The sequence below is a fragment of the Homo sapiens genome, chromosome 17 (genome assembly GCF_000001405.40).
Source record: "Homo sapiens chromosome 17, GRCh38.p14 Primary Assembly".
Lineage (NCBI taxonomy): Eukaryota > Metazoa > Chordata > Mammalia > Primates > Hominidae > Homo > Homo sapiens.
Window position 1 is genome coordinate 42,765,028 of NC_000017.11, and position 15,208 is coordinate 42,780,235.

The 15,208-nt window shown below is 48.8% G+C and overlaps 1 protein-coding gene across 1 annotated transcript, besides 3 other annotated features; it reads left to right on the forward strand.

Annotated features, from left to right (window-relative positions):
* Nucleotides 8,314–8,513: an enhancer, noted in NCBI's record as "active region_12222". NCBI's record gives its function as "activates an Ori minimal core promoter by ATAC-STARR-seq in GM12878 lymphoblastoid cells {active_cell/tissue: GM12878}" and the evidence as "EXISTENCE:reporter gene assay evidence [ECO:0000049][PMID:35858748]".
* On the forward strand, nucleotides 8,422–14,572 carry VPS25 (vacuolar protein sorting 25 homolog). Its single transcript, NM_032353.4, has 6 exons — nucleotides 8,422–8,501; nucleotides 8,706–8,851; nucleotides 9,619–9,672; nucleotides 10,354–10,442; nucleotides 11,218–11,293; nucleotides 13,930–14,572. The coding sequence occupies exons 1-6, from the start codon at nucleotides 8,449–8,451 to the stop codon at nucleotides 14,040–14,042; spliced, it is 531 nt and encodes a 176-aa protein (NP_115729.1). The 5' UTR covers nucleotides 8,422–8,448; the 3' UTR covers nucleotides 14,043–14,572.
* Nucleotides 8,597–9,144: an enhancer, noted in NCBI's record as "H3K27ac hESC enhancer chr17:40925642-40926189 (GRCh37/hg19 assembly coordinates)". NCBI's record gives its function as "activates a minimal SCP1, AML or CMV promoter by ChIP-STARR-seq in naive H9 embryonic stem cells {active_cell/tissue: H9 hESC(naive)}" and the evidence as "EXISTENCE:reporter gene assay evidence [ECO:0000049][PMID:30033119]".
* Nucleotides 10,584–10,878: an enhancer, noted in NCBI's record as "tiled region #12532; K562 Activating DNase matched - State 5:Enh". NCBI's record gives its function as "activates a minimal TATA promoter and a strong SV40 promoter by Sharpr-MPRA in K562 cells {active_cell/tissue: K562}" and the evidence as "EXISTENCE:reporter gene assay evidence [ECO:0000049][PMID:27701403]".

Genomic DNA, 15,208 nt, shown 5'->3' on the forward strand with positions numbered 1-15,208 from the left:
TTGCTTGAACCTGGGAGGCAGAGGTTGCAGTGGGCCAAAGATCGCTCCATTGCACTCCAGCCTGGGTGACAGAGCGAGATTCTGTCTCAAAAAAAAGTATATATATTTTGAGTTTTCACCTGAAATACAGGTTTCCTTAATTTCCATGAATGCATCTGTCTTCCCTAAAGGTATATCTACTCCCTTTGTAGCATGTATTTGCCTTCATGCATTTTATTAATATACATCAAGGACCTGCTGGTATAAAACACTGTGTGTGCCGGGCACAGTGGCTCACGCACTCCCAGCACTTTGGGAGTGTAATCCCAGCACTTTGAGAGGCTGAGGCGGGTAGATCACAAGATCAGGAGTTCAAGACCAGCCTGACCAAGACAGTGAAACCCCATCTCTACTAAAAATACAAAACTTAGCCAGTTGCAGTGACAGGCGCCTGTAATCCCAGCTACTCGGGAGGCTGAGGCAGGAGAATTGCTTGAACCTGGGTGGCAGACGTTGTGGTGAGCCAAGATCACGCCACTGCACTCCAGCCTGGGTGACAGAGTGAGACTCCATCTCAAAAACAAAACAAAACAAAACAAAAAAGACACTGTGTGGTGTATTATGTTGGAAAGATAGGTTAGATAGAGTCTGGTTTTCTGCCCTCAGTGGCTTTCATCTAGTGAGAAAGTTGACGTGTACAAATTAACAAACCAAAACAAAAGTGTAATGAGAATCATGCTAGGGATACAAACCAAATGTTATCTGAGTGTGAGGGAAAAAGGGATCACATCTGGCTGAGAAGATCACAAGGGGTGTGATCACAGGAGGGTGACTGCAGAGTTGGTAGATGACTAGGCCATAGCTGGAGTACGTTCTTCTAGGGGAGAGAGTAGAAAGGGAGGTGAATTAGGAAATTATTGCAATAATCCAGACCTGAGAAAATGAGGACATGGGGCAAAGGAGTGTTGAATGGGGTAATGGAAAATAATTATAAAGTAGAGGATAGGATTAAAAACGGGAGGAAGAGGCCAGATGTGGTGGCTCATACCTGTAATCCCAGCGCTTTGGGAGACTGAGGTGGGAGGATCACCTGAGGCCAGGAGTTCAAGACTAGTCAGGGTAGCATAGTGAGACCATGTCTCTACAAAAAAAAAAAAAAAACACAGGCAGGGCGAGGTGGCTCATGCCTGTAATCCCAGCACTTTGGAAGGTTGAGGTGGGTGGATCACTTGAGGTCAGGAATTTGAGACCAACATGGCGAAACACCATCTCTTTTTTTTTTTTTTTTTTTGAGACACAGCATTGCTCTGTCGCTCAGGCCAAAGTACAGTGGTGCAATTTTGGCTCACTGCAACCTCTGCCTCCCTGGTTCAAGCGATTCCTGTGACTCAGCCTCCCAAGTAGCTAGCACTACAGGCATGTGCCACCATGCCCAGCTAACTGTTATATTTGGAGTAGAGACGGGAGATTTCACCATGTTGAGTTGACCAGGCTGGTCTCGAACTCCTGAGCTTAGGTGATCCACCTGCCTCGGCCTCTCAAAATGCTGGGATTACAGGCGTGTGCCACTGCGCCCAGCCCGAAACTCCATCTCTACTGAAAATACAAAATTAGGCCAGATGCGGTGGCTCACGCCTGTAGTCCCAGTACTTCGGGAGGCTGAGATGGGCAGATCACCTAAGCTCAGGGGTTCGAGAACAGCCTGGCCAACATAGTGAAACCCTATCTCTACTAAAAATACAAAAACTAGCTGGGCGTTGTGGTGCATGCCTGTAATCTCAGCTACTCCGGAGGCTAAGGCAGGAGAATCGCTTGAACCTGGGAGGCAGAGGCTGCAGTGAGCTGAGAACGCAACATTACACTCCAGCCTGGGCAACAGAGCGAAACTCTGTCTCAAAAAAAAAAAAAAAAAAAAAAAAAGCTGGCACAGTGGCTCACGCCTGTAATCCCAGCACTACTTTGGGAGGCCAAGGTGGGTGGATCCACGAGGTAAGGGGATTGAGACCATCCTGGCTAACACAGTGAAACCCCATCTGTACTAAAAATACAAAAAATTAGCCGGGTGTGGTGGCACGCGCCTGTAGTCCCAGCTACTCAGGAGACTGAGGCAGGAGAATCGCTTGAACCCAGGAGGCAGAGGTTGCAGTTGCGCCACTGCACTCCAACCTGGCGACAGAGTGAGACCCCGTCTAAAAAAAAAAAAAAAAGCTGGGTATGGTGGCATGCACCTGTAGTCACAGCTACTCAGGAGGCTGAGGCAGGAGAATCACTTGAACCTGGGAGGCGGAGGTTGCAATGAGCCAAGATCGTGCCACTGCACTCCAGCCTGGGCAACAGAGTGAGACTCTGTCTCAAAAACAAACAAACAAACAAACAAACAAATAAGAACTCAGCTGGATGTAGTGGCACATGTCTGTAGTTCCAGCTACTTGGGAGGCTGAGTGGGGAGGATCAGGGATTCAAGGTTATGGTGAGGTATGATTGGGCCACTGCACTCCACCACTGGCAACCCTGTCTCTAAAAAAAATAAAAAAAATACCAACAGACCCTTGATGTATATTCATGAAATGCATGAAGGCAAATACATGCCATGAAGGGAGTAGATATATCTTTAGGGAAAACAGATGCATTCATGGAAATAAAGCAAACCTTTATTTCAGGTGAAAACTCAAAATATCTTTAGGGCATATTGTCCACTTCCCCATTCAACACTCCTTTGCTCCATGTCCTCATTTTCTCAAGCCTAGATTATTGCAATAATTTCCTAATTCACCTCCCTTTCTACTCTCTCCCCTAGGGAGGAAATTAGCAGGACTTGGATAAAACAGGAGGGAGAGGCCAGGGCTGAGGGAGAGGAGAGGTTAGGGGTGACTCAGGCTTTGGACTTGAGTTACTAGGACAATTATGGCAGTAATAATAGAAAAGAGCCATTGAGGAGGAAGAACTGTCCTGAAGAAAAGAATGTACAATTATAAGGTAACAGTGGAACAAGCTGTTATGTTCCACAGAGAGTTAGAAATGGGGGGATGGGAGTGGAAAGAGGTTGGGTCTGGAAATATAGGTGTGGGAGTCTCCTGCACGGAAGTGCGCCGTAACGCCATTAGATAGATGAGAACTCTAAGACAGAATGGTTCATTGAAAAGAGGAAGGCTGGCCGGGAGCAGTGGCTCGTGCCTGTAATCTCAGCACTTTGGGAAGCCAAGGCGTGCGCAGATTACCTGAGGTCAGGAGTTCAAGACCAGCCTGGCCAACATGATGAAACCCTGTCTCTACCACAAATACAAAAATTAGCCAGGCATGTTGGTGTGCGCCTATAATCCCAGTTTCTAGAGAGGCTGAGGCAGGAGAATTGCTTGAACCTGGGAGGCAGAGGTTGCAGTGAGCCAAGATCATGCCACTGCACTCCAGCCTGGGCAACAGAGCGAGACTTGGTCTCAAAAAAAAAAAAAAGAAAAAGAAAAGAAAAGAAGAAGGCTGAGTTACACTCTTAGGAAACATCACACTTAAAGAATGAGAAAAGGGCTGGGTGCAGTGGTTTATGCCTATAATCCCAGCACTAGGAGGCTGAGGCAGGAGGATTGATTGAGTTTAGGAGTTCGAGACCAGCCTGGGTAACATGGCAAAAACCCATCTCTACAAAAATTTTAAAAGTTAGCCGGGTGTGGTGGTGCATGCCTGTAGTCCCAGCTACTCAAAAGGCTGAGATGGGAAGATCGCTTGAGCCTGGGAGGTCGGGCTACAGTGAACCAAGATCACACCACTGCACTCTCCAGCCTGGGCAACAGAGTAAGACCCTGTCTCAAAAAAACAAATAAATAGGCTGGGCGTGGTGGGGTCACGCCTGTAATCTCAGCACTTTAAGAGGTCAAGGCAGGCGGATCACGAGGTCAGGAGATTGAGACCATCCTGGCTAACACAGTGAAACCCCATCTCTACTAAAAATTCAAAAAATTAGCCGGGCGTGGTGGCGGGCGCCTGTAGTCTGGAGAGCTAATGGAGAGGCTGAGGCAGGAGAATCGCTTGAATCCGGGAGGTGGAGGTTGCAGTGAGCCAAGATCATGCCACTGCACTCCAGCCTGGGCGACAGAGCAAGTCTCCATCTCAAAAATAAATAAACAAATAAGAGGGACAGAGGGAAGATCAGAGATGTAATAGCAGAACAAGAATAAAGGAGTGTCAAAGGCCAGCCATGGTGGCTCACGTCTGTAATCCCAGCACTTTGGGAGGCCGAGGCAGGCGGATCACCTGAGGTCAGGAGTTCGAGACCAGCCTGGCCAACATGGTGATACCCTGTCTCTACTAAAAAATACAAAAATTAGCCAGGCGTGGTGCGGTGCCTGTAATCTCAGTTACTCAAGAGGCTGTGACAGGGAGAATTGCTTGAACCCGGGAGGCAGAGGTTACAGTGAGCCAAGATCACACCACTGCACTCCAGCCTGGGCGAAAGAGCGAGACTCCACCTCAAAAAAAAAAAAAAAAAAAAAAAAAAAAGGCTGGGCCGGTGGCTCACGCCTGTAATCCCAGCACTTTGGGTGGCCAAGGCAGGCGGATCACCTGAGATTGGGAGTTTGAGACCAGCCTGACCAACATGGAGAAACCCCGTCTCTACTAAAAATATAAAATTAGCTGGGTGTGATGGCACATGCCTGTAATCCCAGCTACTCGGGAGGTTGAGGCAGGAGAATTGCTTGAACCCAGGAGGCGGAGGTTGCAGTGAGCTGAGATCTTGCCATTGCACTCCAGCCTGGGCAATGAGAGCAAAACTCAATCTCAAAAAAAAGGAGTGCCATAAAGTCAACGGAAATAGTGAGCTTTGAGAAGGTATTATCAACTGAATGGTTCATTCATTCATCCATTTAACAAATATTTGTTGGTCATTCTGTGGACTAAGTACAGTGCACAGTGTTTTTACTTATTTTTTTTTAATTTCTTTTTTTTTGAGACGGAGTCTCGCTCTGTCACCCAGGCTGGAGTGCAGTGGCGCGATTAAGCTCCCTGCAACCTCAGCCTCCTGTGTTCCAGCAATTCTCCAGCCTGAGCCTCCCGAGTAGCTGGGATTACAGGCGTGCACCACCATGCCTGGCTAATTTTTTGTATTTTTTGTAGAGACGAGGTTTCACCATGTTGGCCAGGCTGGTCTTGAACTCCTGACCTCAAGTGATCCGCCCACCTCGGCCTCCCACAGTGCTGAGATTACAGGCGTGAGCCACTGCAGCTGGCCTTTTCTTTTTTTTTCTTTTACCCAGAAACTAAGGTCACAGGAACTGTGCGCGTGAAGGATTTGGGTGAGGGAAAGGTTGGAAATCAGACAGAAAATTGAGATCAGATGATGACAAGGTCAAGGTTTGTACTTATTTATTTATTTATTTATTTGATACAGAGTCTCGTTCTGTCTCCCAGGCTGGAGTGCAGTGGTGTGATCTAGGCACTGCAACTTCTACCTTTTGGGTTTAAGCAATTCTTGTGCCTCAGCCTCCTGTATAGCTGGGATTACAGGCATGTGCACCAACACATCCAGCTAATTTTTGTATTTTTAGTAAAGACAGGGTTTCACCATGTTGCCCAGGCTGCTCTCCAACTCCTGATCTCAAGTGATCCGCCCGCCTCAGCTTCCCAAAGTGCTGGGATTACAAGTGTGAGCCACCACGCCCAGCCTGTACTTTTTTTTTTTCTTTAAGAGAAAGGGTCTTGCTCTGTCATCCAGGCTGGAGTGCAGTGGTGCGATCATACCACACTGCAGCCTCAAACTCCTGGGGTCAAATAATCCTCCTGTCTCAGCCTCCCAAAGTGTAGGGACTACAGGCATGTGTCACCATGCCTGGCTAATTTTTAAAATTTTTTGTATAGATGGAGTCTTGCTATGATACCAAGGGATGTAAATATCATTATTATTGGGCCAGGTGCAGTGGCTCACGCCTGTAATCCCAGCACTTTGGGAGGCCGAGGCGGGTGGATCACGAGGTCAGGAATTCGATACCAGCCTGGCCAAGATGGTGAAACTCCATCTCTAGTAAAAATACAAAAATTAGCCAGGTGTGGTGACGCATGCCTGTAGTCCCAGCTACTTGGGAGGCTGAGGCAGAATTGCTTGAACCTGGGAAGCAGTGGTTACGGTGAGCCGAGATCGCGCCATTGCACTCCAGCCTTGGTGACAAGAGCGAAACTCCGTCTAAAAAATATATATATATAATTATTATGATTATTTTTTGAGATGGAGTTTTGCTCTTGTCGCCCAGGCTGGAGTGCAATGGCGCGATCTCGCGTCACCGCAACCTCCGCCTCCCGGGTTCAAGCGATTCTCCTGCCTCTGCCTCCCAAGTAGCTGGGATTACAGGTGCCCACCACCACGCCCGGCTATTTTTTTGTATTTTTTAGTAGAGACGGGGTTTCACCATGCTGGCCAGGCTGATCTTGAACAACTCCTGACTTCACGTGATCCACCTGCCTCGGCCTCCCAAAGTGCTGAGATTACAGGCATGAGCCACCAAGCCTGGCCAAGGGTTTACATATTTTTAATTAAGGAAGACCTGTGCATATTTATAGTATATGGGAGAGGAGCTAAGGGCAAGGGCGAGAGGGAAGATGATAGAGAAGTCCTGGAGGAAGTTGAAAAGGGGAGGCAAGAACATATGCCAAAGGGTGCAACACTTCTTCTGAGTCCAAAAGGAAGGAGTAGGCTGGATGCGGTTGGTAATCCCAGCACTTTGGGAGGCCGAGGTGGGCGGATCACTTGAGGTCAGGAGTTTGAGACCAGCCTGACCAACATGGTGAAACCCCGTCTCTACTAAAAATACAAAAATTAGCTGGGTGTGGTAGCTCATGCCTGTAATCCCAGCTTCTAGGGAGGCTGAGGCAGGAGAATCGCTTGAACCAGGGAGGCAGAGGTTGCAGTGAGCTGAGATCAAGCCACTGCACTCCAACCCGGCAACAGTGCAAGACTCCGTCTCAAAAAAAAAAAAAAAAAAAAAAAAAGAAGGAGTAAAAGTGGAGAGAAATTTTTGAGCGATGAATCAAGTATAGAGACAGACAGAGGGAAAACTTAAAGGGTTCACATGCATGGCCTCAATCTCATAAAGCAGGAATGAAAGGCGTTCTGCAGAGAGCAGAGACATGGGGACAGGTGGAGTGCCTTGATGAATGTGGAAAAGTTTGAATAGTTATCTTGAGGGTGACGGAGTCAATAAAAGACAAAGGATCACAGAGCTGCCCTTAGAGCCCGGTAGTGAGGCTAGTCAGGGAATCTAGGGCTTGGCAAACATGTTCTGGTTATTTTTCTTCCAGCAATACTCCAGAGCCCAGGAGTGAAAAAAAGAGGTGGGGGAAATGGAGCAACGATCATTGGTTTGGGAACTGACCTGTAGGTAGGTAGGTAGGTAAGGGGACAGAATTGAGTAGTTTAGGCTGGGTAAGGAGTCTGATAAAACCAAAAGGGGTCCTAGGTCTTGAGACAAGAAAGGCGAGGTCATGGCAGAGGTGAGAGATGGGTGGTTGTGGTCAAAGCCTGCAGCTCTGAATCATGGAAGTAGGGCTGTCTCTAGTGATTCAAGCTACAAAGTGTGCTCCCATGGGTGCTGCAGGAGCCTGAGGAATGGTGAAGTCAAAGGAAATTGGAGGGCCGGGTTGGTCACCTGTTATCCCTTTGGGAGGCTGAGGTCTGGAGATCGCTTGAGCCCAGGAGTTTGAGACCAACCTGGGCCAACATAGTGAGTGCCCATCTCTAGAAAATATTAGCCGGGTTGCTGGGAGCGTTAACTCACTCCTGTAGTCCCAGCACTTTGGGAGGTCGAGGCAGGAGGATCACTTGAGCCCAGGAGTTTGGTGAGACGCCCATCTGTACCAAAACAACAACAAAATGTATTTAATAACTGGGTGCGGTGGTGTGCACCTGTAGTCCCAGCTACTCAGGAGGCTGAAGCCGGACGGTCGCCAGATCTCAGGAGGTAGAGGCTGCAGTGAGCTGTGATTGTGCCACTGTATTCCAGCCTGGGCAACAAAGGGAGACCTTTCTCAAAAATAAATAAACAGATAAATAAATAAAAAATTAAAAATAAAACAAAGGACATTGGAATTGAGCTTGGGTAATTGTGAGTTGATCAAATTAAATGGCAATTCACAGAAATGTTAATATTAAAAGAAGCCTAGTATAGAGGAAACAAAGGTAGGCTGGGATCTGGAGATCTGGGCTTTATTTGCCGTTCTACTTCAGCAACAAAAATTCGCCGCTTTGGGGAAGACATGACCTTTCTCTGGGGTTGAACCAGAAGACTTCCCAGGACTCTTCCTGCTCCAAAAGATAGGGCTTTTTAGGATAACAGCGAGGGACTGGGTCATGACGAGGACTCCTCCTGCCGGTCTCTCTCTTTCCAGAAAGGCTTCCGGAACCTTTCTGCATTGCCTTCTGCCCGGACGTGCGGAAGCGAAGGCCGGAAGTCCTTAGCCGGTAGCTTCCGGGTTTCCTGGGCTACTACGATGGCGATGAGTTTCGAGTGGCCGTGGCAGTATCGCTTCCCACCCTTCTTTACGTGAGGCTCAGACCCCAAGAAGCACCGCTGTGCCTCCCTCCCCTCCCCCGGACCCTGGGCTCAGCCCTGATGCTTCATATGGGGAGGGGGAGAAAAGACCCGTCGGCCAACACCCTCAGTCCCTTACTTTCTTCCTGAAATGCGTCCCGGGCAAGTGCTGCCTCCCGCCCTCTAATTCTGCGCCCCACTCCCTTCACCCGGCAGGTTACAACCGAATGTGGACACTCGGCAGAAGCAGCTGGCCGCCTGGTGCTCGCTGGTCCTGTCCTTCTGCCGCCTGCACAAACAGTCCAGCATGACGGTGATGGAAGCTCAGGAGAGCCCGCTCTTCAACAACGTCAAGCTACAGCGTATCCTCCCTCAGGCTCTTCCACAGCCCATACACATGCACTTCTGCGCTTTCACACATGCCCAGACGCCCCCCCGCGCCAGCCCCCTTTTACCCATGGTAGGCAGATTCCCACCCAAACTGGACTTAAAGAGTGAAAATGTGTAGCTGACATTTTCCCCTGGCAAATGCAGTACCATACCCTCTTGTTCTTGGCAGTGATGACTGCTCGGATGTCATTAAGGTCTTAGAATTTCTGCCCTGAAGCCAAGTTCCAAGTTTTTTAACCTAAACCCTTTTGACTATTTGTATCTTCCATCCTTTTCTGTGTGAGGCCCAGACTTGGGTAACTACCTTTAATTATTTTCTCTGCCCCCCTCCTGCCAGGAAGTAAGGGTCATTTGTTTTTGCTGCCTGATTCATCCCTAAAATATCTGTGGAGAAAGGCTGAAGGAAGGCAACAGACAGAGGGTGAGGAATGACAGTACCTTTCATTTTCTAAAGCTTCTTTCTTTCTTTTTTTTTTTTTTTTTTGGAGACAGGGTCTTCCTCTCTTGCTCAGGCTGGAATGCAGTGGCACAATCACATAAAGCTCCTTTTAATTGGAAGAGTTTCTCTTTACCTTCCTCCTTTGAATATCCAGGAAATGCCAATTCATATCATGTTGGGAAATTGCACACATATGTGTGTGGGAGAGGAAGGGGCAGGTGTTTCTCAACATGGGACTGGCTCTGAAAATTTTTATCCTACCCAACTCATGTGTATGCCGTTCCCTTAACCTTAAACCAGGAAAGCTTCCTGTGGAGTCGATCCAGATTGTATTAGAGGAACTGAGGAAGAAAGGTGGGTTCAGTTCCCCAGATTCCTTATTTTTCTTCCTAGTTGGGTTTTCCTGAGGGCAAATTAGGATAAGTCTTTTTCCCTTTAATAACTTTTTCTCTCTCCTGGCTTGAAGGCCAGAGTCTTCTGTAAAGTAGGCAGCCCAATTCCCAAGTCCTTTCTTCTTTGTACACAAAATTGAAATCTCTGTCTGTGCCCTAAACCTGAAGAGAAGTGGAAGAAGGATGAGTGCCTTGTAGATAATAATAGTAAAATAAATATTGAATCTTTCTTTCTGAAAGCTGAGTCTCTTCCACTCTGTCCCACCTTGGTATTTTTTTGCCTCTTTGTTTCTTTTTAGTTCATGATACTTTTTTTTTGGGTGGGGAGATAAGGTCTCACTCTGTCATCCAGGCTGGAGTGCAGTGGCTCAGTCCTATCTCACTGCAGCCTCGACTCCCAGGCTCAAGTGATCCTCCCATCTCAGCCTCCTGAGTAGTTGAGACCTCAGGCATGTGTCACCACACACCTGGCTAATTTTTTGTATTTTCTATAGAGAGAATTTTTTTGTATTTTCTGTAGGGTCTCATCATGTTGCCCAGGCTAGTTTCGAACTCCTGGGCTCAAGCAGTCCTCCCGCCTTGGCCTCCCAAAGTGTAAGCCACTGCGCGCCTGGTTATGCTTTCATAAGTATCTGTTTTACAGGGAACCTCGAGTGGTTGGATAAGAGCAAGTCCAGCTTCCTGATCATGTGGCGGAGGCCAGAAGAATGGGGGAAACTCATCTATCAGTGGGTGAGATCATTATTCTGCCAAGTATTCAACAGTGACCCATGGAAAAGGTTAACTATATTAGGGCCTAGCAGATAGCCGGTGTTCCCAGATCCAGACTGAGCAAAATGGGGAGGGGGCAGAAAGAGGAAGTGTAGGCCTTCTAGGGAAACCTCTTTAAGTGACTCAATGTCTTTGGCTGCATAGAACCTCCCTTTCTTTGCCTGTAGGAGGCCGGGGGCTATGTGAGGCCATATTTGGAGAATGCAGAACTGGGAACCCTGAGTGCTATTGTTGGCTGGAGCCTCTGGCCACAGGAGATAAATGGGGAAAGGAAGGGAAAAAACCTGGGGCCCCTCCCCCACTGCACTGTTATGGGACTGTCCACAACATGAATGAGATATTCTGAATCAGTGTGGGTGTGGGGACAGAATACTCTTCCCCCTAAACCACCAGTCCCAAACATTCCCAAGGAAGAGAAGAGGGTAAGAAGCATCAACATTCTAAATATAACAAATACACACCATCCATTCTTGAACAGGAAAACAACCAGAATGAGAGGTCAAGGTCACTCCTCAGACACGTGAAGACCTGTGGTTTAGTGGTTCCAAATGAGTGTGTACACATATAAATATAGCACTTGTAGGGTTTATGGCTTTTAGGCCACTCTGCAGAGGCGACAGTGAGTCCTGGTTTGGGAATAGGTATCATTCCTGGATCAGAGGGGTGGAGCTGATGAATTTACTGTCTCCCAGGAGATTCTTGGTTCTAATTCACTCCTCATTTTCTGTATTCACAGGTTTCCAGGAGTGGCCAGAACAACTCCGTCTTTACCCTGTATGAACTGACTAATGGGGAAGACACAGAGGATGAGGGTAATGCCTTTCCCTTCCCACTCATAGTTAATTTTTTGTTTTGTTTTGTTTTGTTTTTCCGATATGGAGTCTTGCTCTGTCACCCAGGCTGGAGTGCAATGTTGCAATCTCGGCTCACTGCAACCTCCGCCTCCTAGGTTGAAGCGATTCTCCTGCCTCAGCTTCCTGAGTAGCTGGGATTACAGGTGTGCGCCACCACGCCTGGCTAATTTTTTGTATTTTTAGTAGAGATGGGGTTTCACCATGTTAGCCAGGTTGTTCTTAAACTCCTAACCTCGTGATCCGCCTGCCTTGGCCTCCCAAAGTGCTGGGATTAGAGGCGTGAGCCACTGTGCCCCGCCTGTTTTTTTTTTTTTTTTTTTGAGACAGAGTCACTGTATCCCAGGCTGGAGTGCAGTGGCGCAGTCTCTGCTCACTGCAACCTCCGCCTCCTATGTTCAAGCGATTCTAAGTTCTTAACCCATGTCCAAGGATTCCATAAGCCACCTGAATTCACATGCAAAAAATCCCAAATTTTGTTTTTGTGGATGCATGTGCATTTTTCTAGGGATAGATTAGATATTACAAGATTTCCAAGGGCATCTATGACCCATGAAAAGTTAAGAATTTCACTTTCAGCTGGGCACAGTGGCTCGTGCCTGTAATCCTAGCACTTTGGGAGGCTAAGGTGGGAGGATTGCTTGAGGTCAGGAGTTTGAGACCAGCCTGGGCAACACAGGGAGATCCTGTCTCTACAAAAAATTTAAAAATCAGCTGGGCATGGTGCTGTGCACCAGTAGTCTCAGTTACTCAGAAGGCTTAGGTGGGAGGATCACTTGAGCCCAGGAGGTCAAGGCTGCAGTGAGCTATGATCACGCCACTGCACTCCAGCCTGGGCAACAGAGCGAGATGCTATCTTAAAAAATAACAATAGGCCGGGTGCAGTGGCTCACGCCTGTAATCCCAGCACTTTGGGAGGCCGAGGCAGGTGGGTCACCTGAGGTCAGGAGTTCCAGACCAGCCTGGCCAACATAGTGAAACCCCGTCTCTACTAAAAATACAAAAATTAGCCGGGCATGGTGGTGCATGCTTGTAATCTGAGCTACTTGGGAGGCTGCAGCAGGAGGATCGCTTGAACCCGAAGGCAGAGGTTGCAGTAAGCCAAGATCGCACCACTGCACTCTAGTCTGGATGACAGAGCGAGACTCCGTCTCAGAAAATAAAAATAATAACAATAAAAAAAATTATAAATAACTTTCTTCATTCAGCATCTGCTATAGATGCCGAATGAGAAACAAGGGCAGGGGATTAAGCTTGAAATCTCATTCCTTGCTGACTCAGGCTCTCTTTCACCCTTTATTCTTATAGAGGGCTCAAGATCTGTGGGTGTCAGCTGAAGAGATTAGGCCAACACCCCCAGCCCATTTATATACTTTGGTTTCTGGCCAGGCAAGGATTTGTATAGTGTTTGATTTTTACATAGCGTAAACACTCTTAGTTCTTTTTCTCCGACTCCAGATTCTGATCCTCTGGATCACCACAAGTTTCGATCTTAGCTGGGATAACAGAGGGTGTCTCCCCTTTCTGCCAGGCCCTGGCTGCCCTAGCAGAGTTTATAGCTCTTGGCTGTTCCCCCTGCTGCCCTGCAGGTCTCTGCTTGCTACTCCCACCATCACCCCATGATTTCAGCACTGTAGCCTTGCCTAGCCCACCACTCAGGTTGGGCAAAGTTGTAGGTTTCCTCAGAAAGCAAGCTCCCTGACTTAGCTGAGCCCCCACAGGGGGTGAGGTAAGCAAGCCTGTCAGGGCTTGCCTGCTGCCTCCCACATCTCCCTGCAGTATCTTACCATATCTCCACATACTCAGCTAGCCATAGGCTCCCCAATTTTTTTGGTTTTTTTTTTGAGACAAAGTCTTGCTCTGTCCCCCAAGCTGGAGTGCAGTTGCACGATCTTGACACTGCAACCTCCACCTCCCGGGTTCAAGTGATTCTTCTGCCTCAGCCTCCTGAGTAGCTGGGATTACAAGTGACCACCACCATGCCCAGCTAATTTTTTGTAATTTTAGTAGAGACAGGGTTTCTCCATGTTGGCCAGGGTGGTCTAGAACTCCTGATCTCAAGTGACCCTCCCACCTCAGCCTTCCAAAGTTCTGGGATTACAGGCGTGAGCCACCGCGCCTGGCCTGTGCTCCCAGCTAAAAGCTAGAAAAAGGGCAGATAATAGTGCTGGAGTTTAACAGTCTCCTGGCCAGGGGTACTGGCTATATTCTTTGTGTTAGGATAGATCCTCTAGGGTCAGTGTCTAGTGACAATGGCTCCGATCTCCCTAGGCCTGATTTTCACGGCCCCTTTGTGGCCCTGAAGCAGATGGTGTCATTCTCGTGCATCAGACACAAATGCTAGGTGTGGGGGAGGCTGAGTCTGAGAGGAGAACCAAGAAGGGGGAAATAAGCACAAACTCATTTCATGCTGATTCAGGCTTTCTTCCACCCCTTACTCCTAAGGAGTGCCTGGGAAGTGTGGATGGCAGCTGTAGCAGTATAGATGGCTTATGCATACCCTGCCTCTGGGAGGTCTCGGCTTCCAGCCAGAGCACTCTCCTCAGAGGCCTTGGGCCTCAGGAGCTGATTGTCTCTGCCTATCTCTCCCTGTTCAGAGTTCCACGGGCTGGATGAAGCCACTCTACTGCGGGCTCTGCAGGCCCTACAGCAGGAGCACAAGGCCGAGATCATCACTGTCAGCGATGGCCGAGGCGTCAAGTTCTTCTAGCAGGGACCTGTCTCCCTTTACTTCTTACCTCCCACCTTTCCAGGGCTTTCAAAAGGAGACAGACCCAGTGTCCCCCAAAGACTGGATCTGTGACTCCACCAGACTCAAAAGGACTCCAGTCCTGAAGGCTGGGACCTGGGGATGGGTTTCTCACACCCCATATGTCTGTCCCTTGGATAGGGTGAGGCTGAAGCACCAGGGAGAAAATATGTGCTTCTTCTCGCCCTACCTCCTTTCCCATCCTAGACTGTCCTTGAGCCAGGGTCTGTAAACCTGACACTTTATATGTGTTCACACATGTAAGTACATACACACATGCGCCTGCAGCACATGCTTCTGTCTCCTCCTCCTCCCACCCCTTTAGCTGCTGTTGCCTCCCTTCTCAGGCTGGTGCTGGATCCTTCCTAGGGGATGGGGGAAGCCCTGGCTGCAGGCAGCCTTCCAGGCAATATGAAGATAGGAGGCCCACGGGCCTGGCAGTGAGAGGTGTGGCCCCACACCGATTTATGATATTAAAATCTCAACTCCCACTGCCTGCCTCTTAAATTACTACAGTACTGGAATGGGGATGGGGAGGGCTGTGAAGTGTTGCCACCTGAGTAAATCCCAGCCTGGGAGAGGGGAGAGAAAAGAAAGCTTATGGCTTTTGTAGAAGAAAAGGTCCTCCAGGGCCCTGTGGGCTCCAGTGAGCCTGTGGTTTTACATCTGCTGGGTGGGCTGTGTGGAGGAGTGCTGATGGAACACAGCTTGGGGACAGACTGCTTTCTCTCTGAATTGGAGTCACTTAAGGGCTCCCCCTTCCCTCACCATCTCCCTCATGGAAGTCCTGAACTACTCTGAAGCCCCTCCCTCCACCCATCTGGTCTGGGTGGGGTAACTGTGGCCAAGGGGAGCTGAGGGGGGTAAGCCGGATGTGGACTTTGGTTTATTGGAGACTGGCAAACAGAAGGGGAGGAAGGAGAGCCCATATAGCAAAAACAGCCACTCTGGCCAGGGTTAGGCTGCGGCCAAGGTGGCCTGGAGGGGATGGATGACCGGGCTCTCGGTTTGGGGGAGGGACTTATCCTGGGGAGTACACACCCATTCCCTATGCAGACCAGAGGGACAACAACGTCAGACCTTTCCACTGACCTCTCCGTTCGGCCTGGGGCTACTCCGGACAGTTA